The sequence below is a fragment of the Homo sapiens genome, chromosome 3 (assembly GCF_000001405.40).
Source record: "Homo sapiens chromosome 3, GRCh38.p14 Primary Assembly".
Taxonomy (NCBI): Eukaryota; Metazoa; Chordata; class Mammalia; order Primates; family Hominidae; genus Homo; species Homo sapiens.
The window spans coordinates 123,014,449-123,038,841 of record NC_000003.12 but is presented as its reverse complement, the minus strand read 5'-3'; the positions used below and the strand labels follow the sequence as shown (position 1 = coordinate 123,038,841).

Below are 24,393 nucleotides of genomic sequence, written 5' to 3'. Positions count from 1 at the left end.
GACAAAAATGCAGAGATTGGTTTGAGTCTCCTGTGAAAAAAATTAGTTTTCTAAGCTTGAAGAGAGAATCCACCTGGAAGAGAAGAATTTGTTAATTCGTTCAACAAATATTTATTGAGCATCTATAATGTACCCAGCACTGTGCTAGAGACACAATGGTGAGAAATTCAAGGGCGGTGAGCCAGTTTTGGAGGAGAGGAAGAGTTCTGAGTGCAGCAAGGGCGAGTGTATCGCTCGGCTTGTCCTCTGGACCAGACAGTCCTAAGGCACGACAGCTGCAGTGCAGAGCCAAGAAACACCAAAAGTTGCTCCAGTTCCATTTTCAAAGGAGAGTGAGAGAAAAGTCGAGGCCAGTGTTTTCTGCAACCTGCAAAACAATCCCTCTTCACAAGCATCAGGAAACTTAACTTGGAGATGTTCTTGGACACTAGGAGGGGACTTAAAATGAGACATCAGTAGAGTCTAGGGACATTGACCCAAACAGCCAAGGCAAGAAGGAGGGGCAGAGCAAGGGCAGCTGACAGGACTCGGGCCCTGGACTCGACTGAGGCATGTGCTGGGGCTTGCAAGGACTTACCAGGAAAAAATGGGGGAAAGCTGCAATTTCCAAGTTAAGAGGGTGGAGCTGGAGAAACAGCTTTGGGACTTTTGCCAAGTCTTTACTTGTATCCCCAGGCTAATGTGGCCTGGAGTGGGTTAAGTTATTTCACATTGGGGCTCAGAGGAGATAACGCTCTTTCTCAAGGTCATTGATTTGGTAAGTCTTTCTCCAAAGTCCCAGACCCAGTCCACCATACGGTATTATAGAAGAGCTACAGGGTTCCCATCTCTGCTCTGCTGTCAACACATTGTAAGATGTTGGACAAGTGAATGTATCCCCTTGAGCTCTACTTTTTCATCTTTTGAAGGGAGGTGTTGGACTAGAGGAGCTACAATATTCTGTGATTCTTGGGCTGATTTCACTGGTTCTGGGTACTGTTGATAATCTGATCCAGCCTTACCTATCCTGACGAATCCCCCTCATGTCCTTGGCCCTTTCACTGTAGCCAATCCAATTTTTTCACTGTCCCTAGAACACAGCACACTCTTTTCCATTCCTGACTCTTTGGCAAATTCCTCCTTAGGGACACTAAACACATCAGAATGCACATGCTGGTCAGACCATGGTCTCTCCATTGTTGGGAGGGACATGCCCACTACCTTCCCTGATGCAGACTTTCAAGGTGAGCGTATGTCAGCTTCCCTGGGCATCCATTTACATCTCTGACATTAGTTTGTCCAGATGCTTTGTGAATTCATTTCTATTTCCCTCATGTACTACATCTTGGAGTAAATTGTTCCACAATTTTATTACCTATTCCTTTTATTTGCTCTAACTATTCCTCTCTCATCTTCCCCTCCAGCGAGTATTTGGGTTGAATAAGTCCTTGTTGATCTTCTGGTTATTGATGAGTTTACTGATTGCCATTGTGTCCTTTTCCAGTCTGGAGGGTTCTAACCCTTTCTGGCCTGTCTTCCCTCGGCAGCCTTGAGTTATTCTCTTCCGTTCCTTCTCCAGTATCTGAACATCAGAGGTTCAGTGACTAGAACCCAGCACAAATCAGTGAGAGGTGGATGTATCATGTTTAAAGAAATGAGGGGGTGGGGGCTCAGTTATTTTCAGCCACCTCCTCCCCTCGCTGATGCCTGACGTGTTTTCTTGGCTTTTGGAGCAAAGCAGGACTTTCAACTCATGTATTGGAAGGGAAAATTCTTCCAAAGGCCCTCTCCTGACTTTTGACAGAGATGTTAGTCACAGAGTTTGGATTTTATTTTTAAACGTATCTGCACATGCCACGTTAAATTTATCTGCCCCTTTTCTTGCCAAATTATACAAACTCGGTGGGTAATGATAACTAACATTTAGTGAGCTCATACAATGCCCTAGGCACTGTATTAAATGTTCTCCTTACAGTATCTCTTTTAATTCTCTCTGCAACCCTATGAGGTAAGGACTATTATTACACAATGTTGAAGACAAGGATATTGAGAAACAGACAGATTAAGTAACCTGATCATCACACAGCTGGCAAACGACACAGCCTAGACTCAAACTCAGGGAGTCTGAGATTTTCAGCCTTGATGCTCTAACCAGTCGACCCTGGCTGTGGATTGGAATCACCCGGGAGCTTTGAAAAAAAACACTAATTCCCAGGGCCTCACTCAGGGCAGTTAAATCAGATTCTCTGGGGATATCTTCAAAAGCTCCCGGAGATGATTCTAATGTCCATCCAGGGTCAAAGACCAATGCTCTGGTGCCTCCTCCTGTCAAAGCCTGTCAGTTTCTTGCCACTGTACCTGGAGGATTATAGTTGGAGCCATCTGCAAGGGAAAGATTTGTCATGTGACCTTCCCCTCCCGAACACGTATAAAGATGTTAAATTATACCAGTCTTGGCATACACTCTTTTTTTTTTTTTTTTTTTGCTGTTGTTGTGGTAAAATATAAACAACATAAAATGTATCATGTTAACTTATTTTAAAAATATTTACTTTTTAATACATAAACTGGGCCGTTCCACATATGTATTTTTTCCTTTTTAATTATGGTGAAATACACTAACATAAAATGTGCTGTCTCAGTGCTCCTGAAGTGCACAGTTCAGTGGCATTAAGCACATTTGCATTCGGCCACCGTCACCACCCTCTATCTCTACAACCTTTTCATCATTCCAAAGTGAAACTCTGCACCCATTAAAACCTAACCCCCCATTTTACCCCTTTCTCAAGCCACTGGCAACATCCATTCTACCTTCTGTTTCTGTGAGTTGACTACTCTAAATACATCATAAAGGTGAAATCATACAGTATTTATCCTTTTGTGTGTGACTTTTTTACTTAGCATGTCTTCAAGTTTCATCCATGTTGTAACATGTTAAATTTCATTCATTTTAAAGGCTGAATATTTCATTGTATGTCTATATCATATTTTGTTTATCCATTTATTGCACAGATTCTTGAAGAGAAAATTTTAACAATGGACCATCTAAAGAAGCCTAAATTTTTTTTTTCTTTTTTTCTTTTTTTTTTTTTTTTGAGACAGGGTCTTGCTCTGTCATCTATGCTGGAGCAAAGTGGCTGGATCTTAGCTCACTGCCACCTTGACCTCCTAGGCCCAAGGGATCCTCCTGCTCAGCCTCCCGAGTAGCTAAGACTACAGGTGTGCGCCACCATGCCTGGCTAATTAAGAAAAAAATTTTCTTTTAGAGTGACGGGGTCTCACTATGTTGCTCAGGCTGGTCTTGAACTCCTGAGCTGAAGCAATCCTCCTGTCTCAGCCTCCCAAAGTACTGGGATTACAGGCATGAGACACTGTGCCTGGCTGAAGCCTAAATTTGTTCCTACCATTTATTTTCTGTCTCTAAGCCATTCTCTTGATAAAAGAGATATCATTCTTTCCTCCCCCTCAAGTTTCATGGTGACTTAACCTTTCAAAAAAGCCTTTCTTAGAGAACTTTGTCAAAAGCTCTTTAAAAGTCTAAGTGGGTTATAGGTTTTTCCTCATTATACCTACTCCTCCTTTACTTTCTTAAAGAATTCCACTAAATGCATGTTTCATCACCTGCATCTGCCCACGCCCACATTTTCTTTGTGACCCAAGGCAATTCCCACCTCCTTCAAGAAGCCTTCCTGGACACTATGCCTCAGCGACTCCCTCTCCACTGAACTTCTCCAGTATTTATTGCCTGGAGCAGTCAATCTGGCATTTACCTGCTATTTACTTCTTGCTTGCACCTCACGTTCCCAATAAGATGATCATCCCTTAAGCACTGCTTATCCTCTGTGTGTGTCCTCTCTAGCCTCAGAACAGAACTGAGCAAATAACAGGGGTGTGAAAATTCTTATTTAATTGAAGTGAGGAAGCCTGCTGCCTCCCACTCAAATCAGGGCTTCTTGGCTAACATCTGAGATCCAAGCTACCTGCAGCATTGCCAGGATGTGTTAAGGGCACGTTCTATCCCCCTCATTTCCCAGATGAGAGCAGAGCCAGCACAAAGCAAAATGGGTGGGGTTCAGGCAAAGTTGTCTTCATCAGGACTTCACTTACTTCACTTGGCTCACACTCCCCCTTTCTCTAATGATCACTCGTATTGTTTCTCTTATTCTTTTTTATTCCTCCCCATCTTAGTTCCCTATTCTGCTTTCTGACCCCTTAGGGTACTACCTCATGCAATAAGTGTGGATAATGGGTTTTCATTGTTTTTGGCATATCTGCCCCAATCAGGATCCTACTCAGGTGCTGGGGCTGTCATAACAGTCTCCTAGTTGGTCTCCATCACTCAAGTTTAGCCACTGCTACTGTTCTCACTTCATCAGCCTTCTGCCCCAAACTTTGTATTATTTCCCTTGCCTGGACTATAGGAAAAATTCCAGCCCCATTCCATGGCATTCAAGGCCTCTCTGGCCCTCCCACGGTCACGCATCGTCTGCTGCTGCATCCCTCCATGCCTTCTATCAATAACAATGTCTTGAATGCCTTCTCTCCGGGGGCTAGGGTTCTAGGTGCTTTATATGGTCCTGGTACAGAGGTGTGCTCAATAGATCATTCAAAGGGAATGGCTGTTTATCTCCCACTCCTGCTAAGGTGCTGCTAATGTATGTGTTGCCTCGTTTAGATAAGGCATTAGGCCAACCTACTATTTCACTGCTATGAGGATTTTAGTCCATGGAACACCAGAGGAGAGACATTTTGGTGGGGGCAAAAGCCTTTCTGGACCTCTCAACCACTCCAGTGGTTTTCTACCCCCAACCAGGCAGGAGGTTCTCCCTCCTTATGCCCTACCCAGAGATATGGTCCTGCTCGGGTCCTCTCAGCACCAGGCCAGGCCCAAGCCCTTTTTGGTTACAACCTGGGATCTTTTCCTTTTCTTTTATTTATTTATTTTTTTTGAGGCAGAGTTTCGCTCTTGTTGCCCAGGCTGGAGTGCAATGGCGTGATCTCAGCTCACTGCAACCTCCACCTCCCTGGTTCAAGCAATTCTCCTGCCTCAGCCTCCCGAGTATCTGCCATTATAGGCATGTGCCACCATGCTCGGCTAATTTTTTGTATTTTTAGTAGAGACGGGGTTTCTCCATGTTGGTCAGGCTGATCTCGAACTCCCAACCTCAGGTGATCCACCCGCCTTGGCCTCCCAAAGTGCTGGGATTACAGGCATGAGCCACCGCGCCCGGCCCAGATCCTTTTTTTAATGGGATACAGATCTCCTTCTGGGAACACTGCTTTAGGTGACCTTGGCCAACGCCCATCCTGTCCTGATCTTATCCAGGACCTCTGTGGCTTCACGCTGGTCCTGGGAGATAATCACAGACACAGATCTCTAGTGTTCAAATGCCTTCAAGAAGGGTGACCACACCTTATGTTCTTCCTTGGGTCTAAACATCCGAAGAGTTGCCACTGTCTTCCTTGCCTGGAGTTGAGCCCTTGGACTTGACCCTTTATCCTGCTCATCTGCCAGGAAGCCTGGTGTCATCCCTGAACCAGCCATGCCTCTGATCTTCACAACCCATACCTCACTTCCTCTTGATTTATCCTCAGCCCAAATCTGACAGTCTGTGCCAGCTGAGCAGGAAAGAGGAAAGCAGAGAGGTGCTTATGAGTGCTCAGGAAGAGAGATGTGATTACCCCTGGGTGTCAGCCCGAGGCCAAGCTACAAAGCCTGCCTTCCCAATCTCTCACCACACCCTTGACTTAGGACTGTATGAAGAAAAACTAGAAATGTAACACAGGGAACAAAAATGGTTCCAGAAAAATTGCGTGTATGTGGGATTGATGAACACTTTTTGTGGGTTTCAGAGCTAATTCTCCCCTCTGTTGTGATTTGGAATGCTGCAGGTGGTTAACTGGGTTGAAAAACAATTAGCATGTTTTACTATAATATACATTTTCTATTAAAGAGTTTTTAAGTGCTAATATAAATATTAACTAATAAGCAATTGGAGAAAAAAATTTATATGGAAAAATCTCAGTTCAAGCCTAGCTCTGAAAATTACCAATTGCATCCCTGATTCCTATCTGTAAAATGAGGATAATAATCATTCATTTATTAAATCATTATTTTGTACCTTTAAAAGAAACCACCAAACAAACAAAAACCAAGCCCTGTTCTGTAAGCTGGGGCTATAGTGATGAACAAAGCAGGCAAGGCCTCTGCTCCTGTGGAATTTATATTCTGGTCAGGGGAGACAGACAATAAATATGTACAATGTCAGATGGTGATAATGACAAGTATTTGTCATTTTTGAAAAGATGGTAATACATCTCTGATGAATTGATATTTGAGCAGAGATTAAAGGAAGTGAGGAAATGACCTATGTGGACATTTGGCAAAAGAGCTTTCCAGGCAGAGAGAGCATCAAGTACAAAGGCCTTGAGGTGAGAGCCTTGGGTGTGTGAGGAATAGCAGAGAGGCTGGGGAAGCCTGAGAGAAGTGAGGATAGGGAGAGCGCTAGCAGATAATGTCAGACAGGCCTTGTGGGGCTGCTAAGGCTTTTTCTCTAGAGAGCTGGGGAGCCATAGAAGGTTTTTGAGCAGAGGAGTGATAGGATCTGAATTAGGACAGCTTCCGTGTGGAGAACAGACTGTAGGTACAAAGGTTAGAAATGGCAGAGCAAACATCCAGGGGAGAGAAGAGAGTGGTTTGAACTAGGGCACAAGTAGAAGAGGTGGGGAGAAATGGTAAGATTCTGAAAATATTTCAAAGATAGAGACGACAGGATTTATGGATGGTCTGAATGGAGGGTATGAAATGACTTCAAGCTTTTGACCTTGAGGAACTGGAAGAATGGAGTTTTTACTTACTAGGATGGGGAAGACTGAGGGAGGAGCTGGCTTGGAAAAACAAATCAGAAGTTAAGTGTTGGGTATGTTAAGATAGAGATGTCTCTTAGATGGTCATGCAGAGGAGGGGCAGGCAGTTGGTTCTATACATCCAGATTTTAAGAGAGAGCGAGAGGGCCGGAGCTGCAGATACAAACTTGGGCATCATCCGCACAGAGAGGTTTACAGCCAGTGACTGGACAAGCTTATCTAGGTCTTCAGTGTAGCTGTCTCCCTCACATGGCTGTGAAGGTCAAAGGGGATAGTATATGGCAAATAGTTTTGTAAACTGTAAAGTGCTATACACAAGGAAAGGAACAAGTGTGCAAATACGGTAAAGAGCATAATGTAGAGCAGGATTTAAAGAAGTATCTTCAGGTAGAGACAGAATCATAGAATACATGTGCAAGGAGAAGCTTACAAACCAGTGGATCAACCCCTTTCATTTTATCCAGGAGGAGCTAAGGTTGGAGAGATTAAGAGGCTTGTCCAAGGACACTCAGCTCATCAGTGGCCCAGCTCATCCTAGGACTGGGGAGCCCTAACTGCTGGTGCGGTGCTCTTTCCACCACATGAAACACCTGCTCACATTTACTGCTTCAGCTCTCTCTGAATCTGTTAACCAGGGGCAAGTAATTCTTCAAACAGAAATCTAATTATATCGCCTTGTGCTTTTATACATGCTACTTCCTCTGCCTGGAATACTCTGCCTCCTCCTGCTTCTCTGTCTGGCAAATTCCTGCCTTATCTTCCATTCTCAGCTAGAATGGCCATTTCCAATGAAGACTTCTTTGTCCTGTTTGGTAGGATGGTAACTGGCTCTCCATGTGCCCGCAGAGCTCCCATCCTGTGGCAGTCCTTGCATTTGCTATGATTACGTCTGCCTCCCCTGCCTGCCTGTGAAGCTCTTCCTATGACCTCTCTGCCTAGCTTAGTGAGTGACACTTAAATGGGAAGGAAGGAAGGAAGGAAGGAAGATCTCTTCTTTCACATTAGTTCAGGACAATGGCAAAGCAGTCATTCAGTGACACTTCAGTTCCTCTGACCTGAGCAAGGTTTTGGTTCACAAATTGACAATGACTTCTGGGGTGGGAATTTTCTTTTTTCTTTGCCATCCCCAGGCACAATGAGCAGGCAATTCTGGGAGCAGAAAACAATTTGGACATTATACGTGCTGTCTTTTTATTTTCAATTCTCTGTCTCCTATTAGTATATGACTGGCTGTTTGCCTTTTGCTGCAAGACAAGGTTTGTGTTTGTGCCTGGGCTATGCACAAGCATGTGTACACACACACACACACATAGAGGGGAGAGAGAGAGAGAGAGAGAGAGAGAGAGAGAGAGAGAGAGAGAGAGAGAGAGAGATGGCCTCTTGGGAGAGCCTGCACTCATTTTTTAGCTTTATCTCCCAGAAAATGCCCTCAGGTGGGAGGAAGAAGACAGTGTTGTGCTCCTAGCTTTTCCACCCTTTCCTGCTCTTGAGCATGAGAATTTGGATCTATTTCTTAAACTCTTTCAACCTTAGTTCAAGATAAGTTTGGAATTTCTAGGTCAAGAGTGAATCCTAAAAACTCCGTCACCCCCTATATTCACCGCTCTTTAGCTTGTTTGCTTGAGATAACACTGTGTTAATTACTATATTTCCATTCTGCTTAATTACAATGTTTCGGTAGAAGAAGAATTGCTCCTAACAGAAGCAATTATCTTATAGGTTATTGCAAAGGTCTAAGGAAGGTGGCAGAAGCTGGTTGTGATACTGTGGTGATGGAATCAATGCTCCAGGTTTTGTTCCAAGTAAATGATTCAGAGATTCTAACCAGGCTGGGTTTGCCAAAGAGCAGGTGGTAAGCCAGGCCAGTAAAGAAACTGTCTCTTCCGGAGGGTTGGGCTTCTGAAGCTCTCTTGTATTGAGAGCTCTTGAGTAATCACTGTTAATCAATACAATGCTTTAGGATGCAATTAGGATTAATTAGCCCAATGTTGCTAGCTGCCCTGCTACTTGGTCTGTCTCTTTGGGTGCCTCCTTGTCCTGGCTCCTGCTTCCCCTGAAAAGGAAAATTTCCCTCTTTGTGTCCCCAGCCTGGAGTCTCCTCTCTTCCCTTCCTGTGCCAAGCCCCCAAACCCCCTCTCCACTTTATAACATGGAGAGGGAGAGCCAGGAAAGGCCTTGACATGATAGTGGGAAGAAAAGAATGAACACAATCAAAACATGGTAGCAAACAAGAGGGCAGGTGAGAGAATGTGTGAAGGGTGGAGAATATTTTGGTTATCTTTCAAGGGAGAGCTGTGGCTGACAGAGCCACTCAGAAGGCATTTTGTCTATTCTCCCAACCAGACAAATTGGAAGCTCTCCTGTTCATTCCCTGGTCCTGCAGTATGGAATAGCTTCGTGGTTTTTTGTGTTAATTAAAAGGTATCTCTATATTGCACATACTTCTATTTTTTGTGATGACAAAAACATTCCCCATGGCTCTGCAGGGAATGGGGGTTGGGGGGGGGGCACGCTCATTGCAGTGGAAAGGTTCCACGGTGGAGATCAGGAGACCTATCCCTATCTCAGCCTGGGACTCTGGGAGAATGGTCCAGAGCTCATTGTCCTTGTTGATAAAATGATAGATTTGGACTCAATATCCCATGCTGCCTCTTCCAACTTGATTTTTACCCCAGACTGGGCTACCAGACTGGTATGCCCACACATGCCCGTTTCCTTTCTTTTCTTCTCTGCATCTCTGCCTTTGTGTCCAGAGCGTGTTTTCCCTTTGCAAGTTTCTCTCCATTCTGCACATTATGAGTTTCAGCATTTCTGTTGCCCTAGAAAGTCTATCTTTGAGATCTTGCACTGTTTCTCTTTTTACAGTGTCTCATAAACTCCCTTCTTGGATTCAGAACCACCCTTTCTTTCCCATTATCCTGTCAAACTGCTTCTTGCCATGGTCCAGGGGTAGGAGGATGGCAGGCAGGAGGTGCTTCTCTGGGGCTCTTAGTGTCTCAATTCTTCTGCTTTATCTGGGTTTTCCTTTACCCAGAATTTTATTATGTAAAATGCTTCACTCAGACTTTGTTCTAATTATCCAATTTTTGGCATACTCTAGAAAGTCTTTTGATATTTTCCTTCCTCCAACTTATCTATTTTTATTTCATAGTTCTCTTTGGTTATCTCTTAGAATCACACTTTCCTGGTTTTAATTTTTCAAATCCTTTGTCTTTCTCACTCGTTCTTAGGTCACCTTTTTTTACATTTTCAAATATATTTTTTGTTCAGCAGAGGGCTCCCTTCCCATCCCTCTTGCAGCCCGGGCAGCTAGGATTTGAAGCTTGCCCCTTGAATCTTTCTCTCCCGCCTTCTAGCCATCAGAAACACTAGATCACTTAAACTTGTAAACAATTCGGCCTCGCTCCTTGTGATTGCGCTAAACCTTCCGTCCTCAGCTGAGAACGCTCCACCACCTCCCCGGATCGCTCATCTCTTGGCTGCCCTCCCACTGTTCCTGATGTTATTTTACTCCCCGTATCCCCTACTCGTTCTTCACAATTCTGTAGGGTGCGTATTACTAACCCCAGTTTACAGCTGAGGAAACTGAGGCTTGGAGAGGTTCGCTCGGTATCGTACAGTTTGCAAGGTTAACCCTAATCCGGCCAGTTCTGGCTTTCCAGCCCAGCCCAGCAGCCTAGCCTCCCTCTCTGCCGCTGCAGGTTATAACGGCTCTCCCCCGTTTTACACGAGGTCCCTTCCCCTTCAAATCCACAGGCAGGAAGATCGTTCCGAACTGACGGGGCTGGGGAATGTGGGAGTCCGGAGTGGGGTTTGGGGGAGCTTCCTCAGGCCCTGAGTGTTGGGGTGGGCAGGCCGCGCCGATGGCCCTCGGGGATGTCACATTCGAGATGGGGTGACCGAGAACGGCAAGGCGGGATGTGGCAAACGGCGGCAAGTGCTCGGAGTCCTAGGTCTTGCCGCCGGAATGCCGGCCGGGGAAGGGGCTTCGGCCCACCGGGCTGGTCACCACACTCGGCAGGCCCGGGGCGGGAGTCGGCCGAGCAGCCGCGGGATGCAGGGCGCCCCCTCGCGCTCCTCCGCGCGCCTCGAGGCTGGCGGGTGCAGCGCCCGCCGCGGCAGGTCTGCTCCAGCCCCCTCCTCTTTTTCGCTCCCGCTCCCCTCCTTCTCTCCCTTTGCTTGCAACTCCTCCCCCACCGCCCCCTCCCTCCTTCTGCTCCCGCGGTCTCCTCCTCCCTGCTCTCTCCGAGCGCCGGGTCGGGAGCTAGTTGGAGCGCGGGGGTTGGTGCCAGAGCCCAGCTCCGCCGAGCCGGGCGGGTCGGCAGCGCATCCAGCGGCTGCTGGGAGCCCGAGCGCAGCGGGCGCGGGCCCGGGTGGGGACTGCACCGGAGCGCTGAGAGCTGGAGGCCGTTCCTGCGCGGCCGCCCCATTCCCAGACCGGCCGCCAGCCCATCTGGTTAGCTCCCGCCGCTCCGCGCCGCCCGGGAGTCGGGAGCCGCGGGGAACCGGGCACCTGCACCCGCCTCTGGGAGGTGAGTCCCGGGAGCCCCGGGCGCTTCCCCTGCGCGGGTTGGGGCTGCAACTTGCAAACTTCAGCAACTCGGGTGGGTATCGGGGTAGAGAGGTAGGGGTCCGGGCTCTGGCAAGTTGAAGCCAGGTAGGTGAGGCTGCGGGCGGGAGGACAGGGGGTCCCCTGGCTTCCGCGCCTCCCGCTGCCACCTCGGCTTGAGAGCCCTCATCGCTGCTGCGTTCCCGCCGCCAGCCAGCTTGGGTCCGGGTTGCACTGGGCCCTGCCAGGGCTGTGGTCGGCGCATCTGGGCTGCAGCGGCGATGGGGACCCGGGACCCAGGCCTGGAGAAGGAGACGGACGAGTGAGGCTGAGGGACGGAGGGACAGAGGTGCGGAGATGGAGGCTCAGAGAGGGCCGGCTAGTAAACAGCACTGAGGGAGAGTGCGGGCGGCGAGGCGCGTGGGAACGCGTGGCCCGCCCAGAGTGTGAAATCTCCCGCTCAGGGACGTCCCTGCTCCACCGCCGCCGCCTGCGGAGCCGCCGCCCGGATTCTTCCCAGACCCGCCTCCAGGACACTCTTGCCCTGACCAGGCCTGCGGAGCGTGAACTCTGCCCACCAGGCTCCAGGGGCAGTGGCTCAGGGCCCCGCACTCCCGGCTGGGAGGGTGGAGAGGGGTGCGGCAGCTGGAAGCAGGGACGCGAGCGGCGATTTCCCGATTTATGTTTCTCATGGTAATTTGTCTTTGTGGTTGGGGCTGCCCATTCACTTTCCGCTCACGTCCTGCGGGAGATCCAGCGAGGAGGGAGGGAGCGGGGGGCGCTCGGGCACAGAGAGGGATGCAGACGGGAGAGGGGATCGGGGACCCGCGCGGGGCGGGAGCCAAGAGGGAAGTGGTCGCCGGACCGGCGGAGGAAGAAGGCGAGGCTCGAGAAAACCCGGCCCAACGGAGCCGACTCCTTTGCCCACCGCAAACTTTAAACAAGGAGGAGGATCACCTGCAGCGCCGTTCTGGCCCCCTCCTCCCCGCCCCCGCCCCCCACCTCGAGCCCAGTCTTTGGGTAGTTCCGACTGCCCGCCGCGCCAGGCGGGAGTGGGCCGAGAGTCTGGATGGGGAGAGAGGAGCGCTGGATTCTGCCCGCACCCCTGCGATCCTGCCCAGGCTTTCTGCAGAGGGGCGGGGTGAGAGCAGCAGGAGCCGGGAGGGCGGGCTACCCTGGCATGCACTCCTTCCCGGCCAACGGAATTGGGACTGAGGGTTTGGAAGCTTGCCTGTGTCTAGACCTCACCACGATCCTACCTTCTCTGGCCCTAACCCCATCTTTTTCCTTCAGCCCCTAGTGAATCCGACCTCCTTCCGCTTTTCTCAGGCACCCCAACCCACTTCGGCCTCGGGGCCTCTCTCCACAGCCCTCCCTGCCTGCTTGCTCCTCGGCCTCCCCACTTCAGCTCATCTTTTTAAGCCTGTTCTCTTCTTGACAATCAGCAGTGGCCTCTCACCTTTTCTAAGCCGGGACAGATGACCTTGAGGAAGGGGCAAGAGGGGAACTTGAACCTTGTAACTGGACCTCAAGATTACGGAAAAGGGGGGCAGATTTGAAAGCAGCTTGGAAAGAAACAGCCAGTACCTTTCCCGAAGTCTAGATTTTCAACGGAGGAGGAAAGGAGATAAAATATAGGAGAGATGGGGGAACTTGCCACTTGGTCACTCATGGGGCGGTGAGAACTGTTCTGGGCCTTGGGGCGTGGGGGTAGACCACTCGGGGCAGGGCTGCCTCTGGCTTGCTGTGTTGGGAAAGGTGTGTGTAGGTGAGTGTGGGTTTCAGGGGGAGCTCTTTTCTCCATATCAACACCTATCACCACCAGTTTGGGAAGGAATGGCAGATCTTCCATCCCTTTTCTTTTTCCAAGCAGCCAGTGCCAGAGCCTTCCTCCTCCAAAGCCAACAGTAGCGACCATAATCATCACCGTGGACATCTAACACTGTTTAAGCACCTACTATGTGCAATGCACCATGCTAAATGCTGGTAGATAAAAAGAGGTACAGGGCCGAGCCCATGCCCAGAGAGGTTAGTAAGTTCACCAGTTTGATCCTGAGACACTTGTCTATGTGTTTGGGGAGGGAGAACATGGAGAGGAACATGCAGTGGCTGTACAGGCAGCAAGGTGCCTGATGACCCAAGGGTTTAGGAGAGGAAGGGTTAAAAAAAACTCGATGACTCAGGTGGGACAGAGAGCTGGGCTTATTGACTCTGCCCTGAGATAGGACAGCCAGCACCTCCTTTCCCACTAGGGAGGGGAAAAAGTTCCTTTACCACTTCTAGTGCCAGACTAGAAAACCAGAGAAGCCGAGAGGTCCAGCCCAACACTGTAGATTGCTACCTCCCCATTAGGACTGGAGGAGCCCCAGAAACTTTCTTGTCTTAGGATGAACTTCCTGGCTTGTTTGAAAGACCCTACAGTGGTCACTTCTTATTGAGACTCAAAGCTGGGAGAGGCCCTGGAGATTGTCCATGTCAGGGGAAGCACAAATTCAAATGCCTACAGAGGGCAGGCAGGTCACAGTGTGTTGATCAGGCAATTAGAGTGGCCCAGCTTATGGACAATTGGGAGTTCAAAGCCAAACTGGCCAAGTGAAATGATCCTAACAAAATCAATTAACAGCCTTTAAGTAGCCTGACCCCTTATATCTATAGATAAAGATATTAAGATTCTAAGAAGTGAGCTCATCTGCCTTGGATATACATGTTATCTTGTCTCCCTGTACCTTGGGGATTGACTGGAATATCTCATGGCCTGGTTCTACCTCTGACCTGTTGGGCCCTTGGCTCACCCTCATTCTCAGGGCCCATTAAGATTCTTCTGTCAGATGATAAGTTCCTTGAGGGAGCCATCTTGTTTTACTCAAATCTGAGCACATCACATCCATTGATATAAGGTTCCACATGCAGAGCAAAGACTGGATTCAGATCTCCTGTCCCCATTCCCACTGGGAATCCAGTGGGTGTAAACCAATTTTATTTTTTACAAAAAAGAGAAAATTCAACCATAACTTTTTGTTTCATCTAATGTAGCAATAGGGTTAGATGAGATAAGACTAGAAGCTCACATTGGATGTTTGCAGATTCCAAGGAACATCCAGAAAGCCCTGATGCCTGAGTGGGGATCTAAAAAGAGGGATGGGAACCCATCAAGGGGATAGAGGAACAGCAGACATTTATGGATGGAGTATGTGTATTTAGGAAGATGATGCTATTGGGTCCAATTATTTGAACACTGACCATAACACTCCCGTGCTTAGTCTTGGTCACCCTCTTATATCCAATGATCTGAGTTAGCAACTCATTACCAGCCAACCAGTTCACCACTTTCATTGATGACTGAGGTGGTAGAATGGACAAAGAAGACAAAAAGACAAGATCCCTGATTAGAAGTGCATGCCACCTTGTTATGTTATATTGCCTTAAAGAACCCAGAGCTGAGTTCTGGTGCCCCACCACCTATACCCTGGCAGTAGACAGATGTTTCCCATGATCTTCAAGTGTTGGCTTTGTCACTGCCTGGGTACAGGGTAAAAGAGACCATCCAGTGGCAGTAAACTCCTGTGTTCACTCACCTACTATGTGCCAGGCACTGTTCTAGGAGCCATGGATACAACAGTAAACAACACATGCCTCTGATCTCCCAGGATGGGGTAAATCAGCATGACTAAGGGTACACAATTATCAGCATTGCCTCAACATCTGTGGTGATTTACTGTGGTGTTTTTTCCCCTGTGGGTTTGTCTGGGGGACCTGACAGCTAATGTGGAGTTGTCCAAAGGACTTGGAGTCCAGGGTTTTGGGGGAGGGTGAGAGGGCTAGGATCCCATCACCTTAGCTGTTTCCTAGTTCCAAGTTCCCTCTCTGTGCCTCAGATTCCTCACTCATCAAAGCTAAACACCTACTTTGTACCTGTGGTGTAAATAGATGCAAAGCCAGGCTCCTGGAGATCTGGGCATCTGGAGCTCTGGGGATGCACAAGTGCTTGGAGGGAGTGTTACTTATACTTAAAGATCTAAACCCCAGTGGGTTCTGGGGACCATCTTTTGCCTCATTCAGTCACCTTGATCACTAGCTTGTCTTCATTTCGTGTGTGTGTGTGTGTGTGTGTGTGTGTGTGTGTGCTGGAAATAGTTACTTCTAATGAATGAGTTTTCTTTACATTCAGATCTTTCCATATGAGTTTACCTATCACTAAGTTGGCCTTAAATTTATGACAACACTTAACTAACTTGGTCTTAAATGTATGGCAAGAGGCCAAAGCAAATGCCTGGACTAATGGAATTTCATTGAATTGACAGAATTGAGCCCTTCATTTATAGCTTGTGTGGACAACACCTGGATTTTTCACTGGCATCGTGCTATACTTTTGCAAACCCCCCTCTCTGTGACTTTTGGTTTGATGACATCTGCCTTAGCTGAGGAGATGATCCTCTAATGGGTAATCTGGAACAGGATCTTCGTGTATGCCATTCTCTATTTCAGATGGATCTCCTCCAATACTCTCCTTCTGAAGAAATTTCCTTTATAACCAGCTTGAATGCTAGAAAATGGCAGGGAGAAGTTCCAGCTGAGAGTCGAGTTCTGAAAGGAAAGGGACAGAAGGGTGCTGAATGTTGTGTGGCTCTGCCATGATACTTCCCTTCCCTTCTGTTTTAGTGAGCATGAGAGATGAAACCCAAACCTTGCAGAATGGCCTCTCAGTCCTGATTTGAGTGGGGGACTCACCAGTGAGAAATTATTCGACTTGGTGGCTTCAAAGTGGAATAAAAAATGAAGATGGTTTTCTGTCCAATTTGCTGCTGGGCACAGGAGAGAAAGCAGAAGGAGGGACCTCTGGGATGGGGACTGGGTCAGGAGAGTTTAACCTTGAGCTCTCTTCTTGGCAGTTGGTCTGCTGATTCTCCTCCACTCTCTGACTTGAAATAGAAGGACAAGGATTCCATCGGGCTTTCCCTGAGTACATGAAAGCTTTAAAGGCAATGCTGTATGTGCTGAATCCCGCCATGACACTGTCCTCATTGTTCTGCGTTTAATAAGGATGACTTAATCAGACTTGCGCATGGAACTTGTTTGAATTTGAAGCCTTGTCGATATTATCAGAGTATCTTTCATTTGAACCAGAAATGTCCTGGCCAGCATCTTCTGTGATGGGAAAGGTTGGTACTTGAAGGATGTTTAGTGACCATCTGTCCTGCCAGTCCCCTGAGGATCAAATTACAGGTTTCAGTTACAGAGTGGGGAGGCTGGGTTAGAAATGAGGGAGGCTTTTCTGCTTGAGCACCTCTGCCAAACCACTGGGTTCTTCATCTGTGAAAGGGAGGTGTTCAGAAGAATCTTAAAGCCCTTTCTGGCCCTCAAGTCAGTGGTTTTGAATGGATATTGCAGTCGCTTCTTGATTTTCCAGGAGTGGCTCGTTGACTTTTCTGTGGATTCTTTGTGGGGAATGTGAGTCTCAGGATAGTTTCCAGTTACCATCCAACCCCCCTGTTGTTAACCCATCTGACCGACTGCCAGTCACTGCATCTTCAGAGAATGCATTTTCCTTTTTGCCTCAGCCTGAGCCAAATATCATCTGGAAGGTAACTCTGCTGTATATTGAGGCATACATGTGCATATAAACATACATACATATATGCACATATAAATGTAGATGAAAGGTATTCCAAATCTGTGTGTTACCGGCTGACCATTGGATTAACCGCAGTTCTGTCCGCAGTTTCGTTCCCTGCCAGAGCTGATGTAAGCCCGCCCTGGGAGGCAACTTTAGGGAAATGGCTTGCAGGGTAACAATTTAGATCCATCCCTATTTGCCAGTCCCACTGGTCTACCTGAGCCATAGCTCCCTCCCTACTGCCCTAGCCATTGTCCGGAAGGCCTCCCAAGAGCCCCCCTGTTAGGAATACAAAAGAGCTGCAGTTGGCTCTTAATTATTCAGGGACAAGTGTGTGAAGCACCCAACTCAGGCCTCTTCTTTCCCTGCTTTCGGTGCCTTGAGTAACTCTATATCTGTAGTGAGTAGCTGGGGCAGATCTTATCATTTCATACAAACTTTTGTTTCTAGCAGCCAGCTCCCTCTGCTTCTCTTCCCTCAAGGCGCCTGGGGGAAGCTAGGAGCCCTCTCTGAGAGGCCTCATCCACTCAAAGCAGACTGCTTTTAAGGTTTACACATTGCCCTGTTGGTTGGTGTGTATTTCTGCCCGAAAGCAGGACAGAAGAGGAAAATACCACTAGCTCTGGCTGATGCAGGGTCAGACCCCTGCAGATTTCCCGGGATCCGGGCTTTCTTTCCTTCCTCCTTTGGTAGAGCCTGGACTTTCAGTGTTTGGCATCAGGGATACCCTAGGTCCCATCAGGAGTCTAAGTGTAGAGCAGTGTCCTTGTGGTAAAAGCTCCAAACAGGCAAGGTCTAAAGAGCACTTACATGAATGTCCCCAAGGCTGAGGGTAATGTTTCTACATAGACCAGGTGCCTTGGGGCACATGCTCCCTTTCAACAGCTCTCCAGGTTCCAGAGTGAGACTTTCCTCACTTTCCTGCTGGGCCCTGTCCAGAGAGAAGAGGGCTGTGAAGTGGGGTGAACAGCCTCAAGTCTACCTCTGTATACAGGTAACCGTGGCTTGGTCCAGCTCAACACATAATTCACTGGCTTCCGTAAAAACCACCTGCAGAGCTTTAAAAAATACAGACTTGACCAGCCCTATCCTAGACCTTAATTAAGATAGGATTTCTGCGGGGGGAGCCTGGGCACTGGTATTTTTTTGAGCTTCGAATAGGCAGCCATGGTTGAGAGCCACTGACCTAAATCTTCTTTTCTAGGCTCTACCTGGCCTCATGCCAATGGCATGCAGAACCTCTTAGCCCTCAACCCTTCTAAACAGCCAGGTCCTTTCTAATGGGCACCAGCTATAGCTCCTGGCATCCAGATCATAGCTACTGTTTGTGTTCTGAATTTAATGACTTTCTATTATAAGCTGATTGTGAGAGCTCCTGTCTGGTTACTTCCTTTTGGTCATTTTTTTCTTAAAAAGCATTTACAAAAGTAATGAATATTAATTCAACATTTTTGTATGTTTCGTCTAGATAGGTATGTAACCAAATTGTGATTGTACTTTTTGTAACCAGCCTTTTCACTTAACAGCATATTGTGATAATTTCCCCCTTCCTAAGTATCCTACTAAGATGGGCTTTATAATGGCTGCCTGGTATTCCATCATACGGATGCGCCATAATTTATTTAACAAACCCCCCGTGGTTGGACATTTAAATTGTAAACCATTTTTCACTATTATAAATAATGCTGCAGTGAACATCCTTGCACATTAATCTTTGTGCCTATCAATGATTATTTCCTCAGAACAGATTTCTAGAAGTGGAATATTGATGCTTTTTCACATGGACCATTTAGACCGTTTTTGACTGACTTCCTACAGCAATAAAAAGTTTTTGGATTCAGAGTTTAAGAAACACTTTTCACTGCTCTCCTCTGAGGCTTCGCGCTGACTGCTTCCCTGTCCCTGATTTGAGGTCAGAATCCCTTGACCTAGCCTTGGTCCTAGGCTCTGCCTCCAGATCAGTTCCACAGAATGCTGCCTCTCCCTTCATAGGAACTCCTAGGCTCCCTTGCCCCCACCTCCAGCATCCTTGTTTTTCCTTTCACCTGCTCAGCCCTTTCATCTTCGTACCTCCAGCCCCTGAACCATAACACTCAATGCCTTCCAGCTAGTGTTCCGTAAAAACAGCTGTGGTTTATACAGTTGTTACTATACAACGGCCTGGTAAACTTTTTATGTGCATTATCTCTTTTAATCCTCAGGTGCCTTATGTACACATTTAAAAAAAGATTTATTAATTTATTTGAGACAGGATCTTACTCTGTCACCCAGGCCGGAGTGTAATGGTGCAATCACAGCTCACTGCAGGCTCACCCTCCCATGCTTAAGCCATCCTCCCATCTCAACCTCCCAAGTAGCTGGGACCAAATGCATGCATCACCATGCCTGACTAACTTTTGTGTTTCATGTAGAGACGGGGTTTCTACCCAGGCTTGTCTCAGACTCCTGGGCTCAAGTGATCTACCTCCCTTGGCCTCCCAAAGTGCTGGAATTACAAGCATGAGCTACTGTGCCCGGCCCACATATTATTTTTATCTCCACTTTCCTCATGAGGAAACTGAAACCTTGAGAAATAAAATGATTTGCCCAAGGTCACACAGCTAATAAGTAGTAGACCTGGGATTTAAACCCAGAGCCTACACATTTAACCACTACATAGGCTTTTCTCAATCCTCTTGGTGTTAACTCTTGGCTTGTTGTCAACAAGTTGTTCACAAATATTCCCTCAGCATCCCATGGACATATGCTGTGTCTTTCTCCAGCAGAAGAGGGGCATTTCTCAGTACAAATAGCAGTAGAGTGGGGATGCTATTCATCAATGCCCCCCTTTCCTTTTTACTTCCTGGGTCATGTCCTCATCCCTTTATCCAGGTAACCCATGCTAGAAAACTTTTCTTGCTCCTCACTGACCAGCTGCCAAGATTCCAGCATGCCTTGCAGCTGAGCAGGTCCAAGTTATGACGTATTCCTATTACAGCTTCTCCAGCCAGTTGGAAGAATTTGGGTGCTACTTTCCCAGTATGGAATATAAGGCTGTCAGGGAGGCATGCTATAGTCATGACAGGGGATAGGCAGTCTGACTTCTACTGGAAATCAGATACTGTTTAAAGTGGAGAATTGGATGTTGGGGACAGACCTGATTTGGTTGAGGTCCTGAGAAAAAGATCTGAGGGGTTTAATTGTGCATAGGCTTCATCAGAGCCGACAAGGTGATGGGGTGGCTCAAAACAACACCATCTTAAATGGAGCTAAGAGAAATGTGGGGTCCCGATTGGGTTCTTCCTGGTCATTCTGTGCTTATTTATGAATATGGATTTGAGAGGGGACCCTGCCCAACTCAAGTGTGCTTCGTGGAGGGCATCTGGTGTCAGGAGGAGGTTGGGAAGCCTAGCCACAAAAGGTCTGGTGAAAGAAGCTCCTCTGTTAAGACAGGGAGAAAACGCTGAGGGTGACTGTGGTCAACCACAAAAGAAGCAGGACTTCCTATGGAAAAACATACTCTTCAGCTCGGGAGAACCAGAAGAGCCCAGAGTGAAAAGTACAGGAACCTAGGTTTTCTAGAATGAGCATCTTCCCAACCCGATGGGTAAACAGATGGGTAAACAGTAAACTGTTTCAGCACTGGCCAGCAGTTCTGCTGCCTGGTTTTTGCAGGACTCCTGCCCTGGGAACAGATGGTCATCCAACCAGTGTACCTCTATGTCTTTGCGGCTCTGAGGCTGGAACACCACTTCCTTTCCTGATTTCTTTAGAGCAGGAATTCTCAAAGCGAAGCCCCTGACTCGTGGCATTAGTGCCACCAGAACTCGTTAAGAATGCAACAATTCTTGGGCTGCACCCCAGACCCACTAAAAAGGTTCAACCAACCTTTTGCTGGTCTGGGGTCCAGCAAAAAATCCTTTTTTTTTTTTTTCTTTTTTTGAGATGGAGTCTCACTCACTCTGTCGCCCAGGCTGGAGTGCAGTGATGCAGTCTTGGCTCACTGCAACCTCTGCCTCCCAGTTTCAAGTGATTCTCCTGCCTCAGCCTCCCAAGTAGCTGGGATTACAGGCACCCGCCACTGCATCTGGCTAATTTTTGTATTTTTAGAAGAGATGAGGTTTCACCATATTGGCCAGGTTGGTCTTGAACTCCTGACCTCAAGTGAAACACCTGCCTCGTCCTCCCAAAATGTTGGGATTACAGGTGTGAGCCACTGCGCCTGGCCAACCTGTGCTGTTAAAAGCCCTGCAGGTCATTCTGTTGCATGCTACAGTTGGAGACACTGCTTTAGACCACATTAGGTCATTCTTTCTGTTGCTGGATGCTTGTGGTGCTTATTTGAAACTCACAACCTGCAACCCTTTACTAGGGAAGCACTAGAGAACCTTGGAATGAGTATGGGTTTGAAAATGAGACAGACTTGGCTTCAAACACAGCGTGGCTGCTTTTTGGTTGTGAGTTTTGTATAAGTTCCTTTCCCTTTCTGAGCATTCTTTTCTTTTTTTTTTTAACTGTAAGATGAGGTAGGGCTGTGTTTAAAGGAAGATTAAATGAGCTCATTACTTAATAATCCTAGAAAGTACAGTCAGCCCTCTGTATCTGTGGAATCCATGTGAGGATTCAACCAAACTTGGATTGAAAATATTTTTAAAAAATGCATCTGGGCCAGGCGCGGGGGCTCATGCCTGTAATCCCAGCACTTTGGGAGGCTGAGGCGGGCAGATCAGAGGTCAGGATATCAAGACCATCCTGGCTAACAGTGAAACCCCATCTCCACTAAAAATACAAAAAATTAGCCGGGCGTGGTGGTGGGTGCCTGTAGTCCCAGCTACTCAGGAGGCTGAGGCAGGAGAATGGCGTGAACCTGGGAGGTGGAGCTTGCAGTGAGCCGAGATCGCGCCACTGCACTTCAGCCTGGGTGACAAAGTGACTGCGTCTCAAAAAAAAAAAAAAAAAAAAATGCACCTGAGGCCAGGCACAGTGGCTCACACTGGTAATCCCAGTGTTTTGGGAGGCTGAAGCCAGAGAATCACTTTAGGCCAGGATTATGAGACTAGCCAGAACAACAGCAAGGCTCTCCCTACCTCTACAAAAAAAGGGTTTTTTAAATTAGCCAGGTATGGTGTTATGCACCTGTAGTCCTGGCTGCTTGGGAGGCTGAGGCAGGAGGATTGCTTGAGCCCAGGAGCTCAAGGCTGCAATGAACTGTGATAGCATCACTGCACTCTAGCCTGGGTGACAGAATGAGATCCTGTCTCTAAAAAAAATTAAATTAAATTAAATTTTTAAATGTATCTATGCTAAACATGTACAGAGACTTTTTTCTTGTAATTATTCCCTAAACAACACAGTATAACAACTATTTACGTAGTACTTACGTTGTATTAGGTGTTACAAGTAATTAAGTGATGATTTAAAGTATACAGGAGGATGTGTGTAGGTTATAGGCAAACACTACACCATTTTATATAAGGAACTTGAACATTTGTGCATTTGAGAATTTGCAGGAGGTCCTGGGACTGGTCCCCCAGGTATACTTAGGGATCACTGCATCTTCTTACCGACATCACAGTTGCCTTTCCTACAGAATACTGTCTTCCCAGTGAGTTTTCCCTGAGCCCCTCAAAGAGAGGTCTGGGTGTAGGTTCCTCTGTGTCCCCTCACAGCACACACCAATGTGGGGCTCCCTCAAGTTAGGGATCAATTAAGGCTTGGGCTGCCAGCTCCCTCACTCCCTGGACAGTGGAGAGTCAGGGCAGCTTTCCTTCCCACCCCTCATCCTCCTGGGACCCTATTCTGTGAGCATGAGCAGGTTCTTCCCTCCAGTGGACCTGGGTCTCACCAAACCTGATCTTCTGAGGCCTATGAGTCCCTGTGTCAGCACACAGTTTAATCTGCCGAAGCCATAGATGAACAGTCTTGAGGCCCAGACATCGCATGGTGGCCTCTAACTTTAAATAGGTAAGAATCTCAAGTTGCTGGTGTCAAGCCAGGCTGGGAATGTGAGTGGACCCTCTTTGGAGCTGCAGGTTGCCTGAGTCTTTGGCACAAGTCTCTACTGAGTGGTCAGCAGGTGGAGTCTTGAGTTTCTCAGAGACAGAGAGCTCAGGTGCCCATGAGACGGCCCATTTGATGTTTTGGGTGACAATGCCTAATATAATTATTTTATTTCTCTGAAGTCTGTTTCTCTCCCTGTGGGTTCCATCTCTTCTCGCTGTGGCTGGGTGTTCATCCCTCTTCCATGCCACAGTTCTTCAAACATTGGAAGTTGATGAGCCTGCCACCTCTTCCCCAGTTCAGCAGTCCTCCTCTGGCTTGTCTCTTCATCTCTGGGCATAGGACTCTGAAGATCTCCCACTTCTCTACAGTTGAGGTCTCCAGGACCAAAGATGGCCCTCCAGGTGAGGCCTGACCAGCATACCCGTATGCTTAGCTAGTGCATCTCCTGTTAACATAGCCTCAACTCTGATCTGGCTGTCTTTAGCAGCCACACAGCACTGCTGATTTCGACTGAGCTTACAGCCAACCAGCACCCCAGGGTCTCTTTAACATAACGCACTCAGCCACATCTTCCCAATTTTACCTTTGTGTTTGTATTAGTTTTCTAGGGCAGCTGTAACAAAACACCCCACACTGAGGGGCTTAACAACAGAAACTTATTGTCTTCCAGTCCTGGAGGCCAGAAGTCTGAGATCAAGGTGTGGGCAGAGCTCCTTCTGAGGGATATGACAGAAGATCTGCTCCGTGCTTCCCTCCTGGCTTCCGGTGGTTTGCTGGCATTCTTTGGTGTTTCTTGTTTTATAGAAGCATCAATATAATTTCTGCCTTCATCTTTGCAACATGTTCTCCCTGTGTGCGTGTGTGTCACCAAATTTTTCCTTTTTATAAGGACACCAGTCATATTGGGTTGGGGCCCACCCTCCAGTGTGACTTCATCTAACTACATCTGCAACAATCCTATTTCCAAATAAGGCAATAATCTGACATACAGGGGGTTAAAACTTCAACCTGTGAGCTTTGTGGGGGGACACGGTTCATCCTACAACAGTGCTGCAGCTTTTTGACCTCCTGTTTCGAGACTACATTTTTCCCTAATTTATTTTATCTTGAAAAAACCTTTCCAGCTGATGAAGATATTTCGGATCCTGCCTCTGTCAGCCAACGTATGTGCTATTGCTCTCAGCTTCAAGTGCTTCTTGTATATTGATCCAAGGATTTGCTAAGAGGTTGAATGGGGTGGTGTGGGTTGGAGCTCTGCAGCATGGCCCCTGGACACTTCCCTGCAGGCGGCCAGGATCCATTGCTAAGCCCCCTTGGGGTACAACTGTGCAACCAGCTATATGTCCCACTAATGCTACTGCCTTCCAGCTTCCTCTTTCTAGCTTATACACAATGATTTCAT

At 47.6% G+C, this 24,393-nt stretch overlaps 1 protein-coding gene across 15 annotated transcripts in view, besides 4 other annotated features; it reads left to right on the top strand.

The window, feature by feature from the left end:
* Window positions 4,245–4,799: an enhancer, noted in NCBI's record as "OCT4-NANOG hESC enhancer chr3:122752890-122753444 (GRCh37/hg19 assembly coordinates)". NCBI's record gives its function as "activates a minimal SCP1, AML or CMV promoter by ChIP-STARR-seq in naive H9 embryonic stem cells {active_cell/tissue: H9 hESC(naive)}" and the evidence as "EXISTENCE:reporter gene assay evidence [ECO:0000049][PMID:30033119]".
* Window positions 9,968–10,475: an enhancer, noted in NCBI's record as "NANOG hESC enhancer chr3:122747214-122747721 (GRCh37/hg19 assembly coordinates)". NCBI's record gives its function as "activates a minimal SCP1, AML or CMV promoter by ChIP-STARR-seq in naive H9 embryonic stem cells {active_cell/tissue: H9 hESC(naive)}" and the evidence as "EXISTENCE:reporter gene assay evidence [ECO:0000049][PMID:30033119]".
* The window catches only part of SEMA5B (semaphorin 5B), a 119,524-nt gene continuing 105,367 nt past the window's right edge, over window positions 10,237–24,393 (top strand). For 14 of the 15 annotated variants that reach the window (NM_001256348.2, XM_047448354.1, XM_047448352.1 and 11 more), the window contains exon 1: window positions 11,079–11,378. The gene's annotated coding sequence lies outside the window, so the exon portion shown is untranslated. Of the gene's footprint in view, window positions 10,396–11,078; window positions 11,379–24,393 lie in introns of those variants that run through there. The other variant, NR_046079.2, reaches the window with a different exon arrangement.
* Window positions 17,078–17,742: an enhancer, noted in NCBI's record as "NANOG-H3K4me1 hESC enhancer chr3:122739947-122740611 (GRCh37/hg19 assembly coordinates)". NCBI's record gives its function as "activates a minimal SCP1, AML or CMV promoter by ChIP-STARR-seq in primed H9 embryonic stem cells {active_cell/tissue: H9 hESC(primed)}" and the evidence as "EXISTENCE:reporter gene assay evidence [ECO:0000049][PMID:30033119]".
* Window positions 17,743–18,408: an enhancer, noted in NCBI's record as "H3K4me1 hESC enhancer chr3:122739281-122739946 (GRCh37/hg19 assembly coordinates)". NCBI's record gives its function as "activates a minimal SCP1, AML or CMV promoter by ChIP-STARR-seq in naive and primed H9 embryonic stem cells {active_cell/tissue: H9 hESC(naive and primed)}" and the evidence as "EXISTENCE:reporter gene assay evidence [ECO:0000049][PMID:30033119]".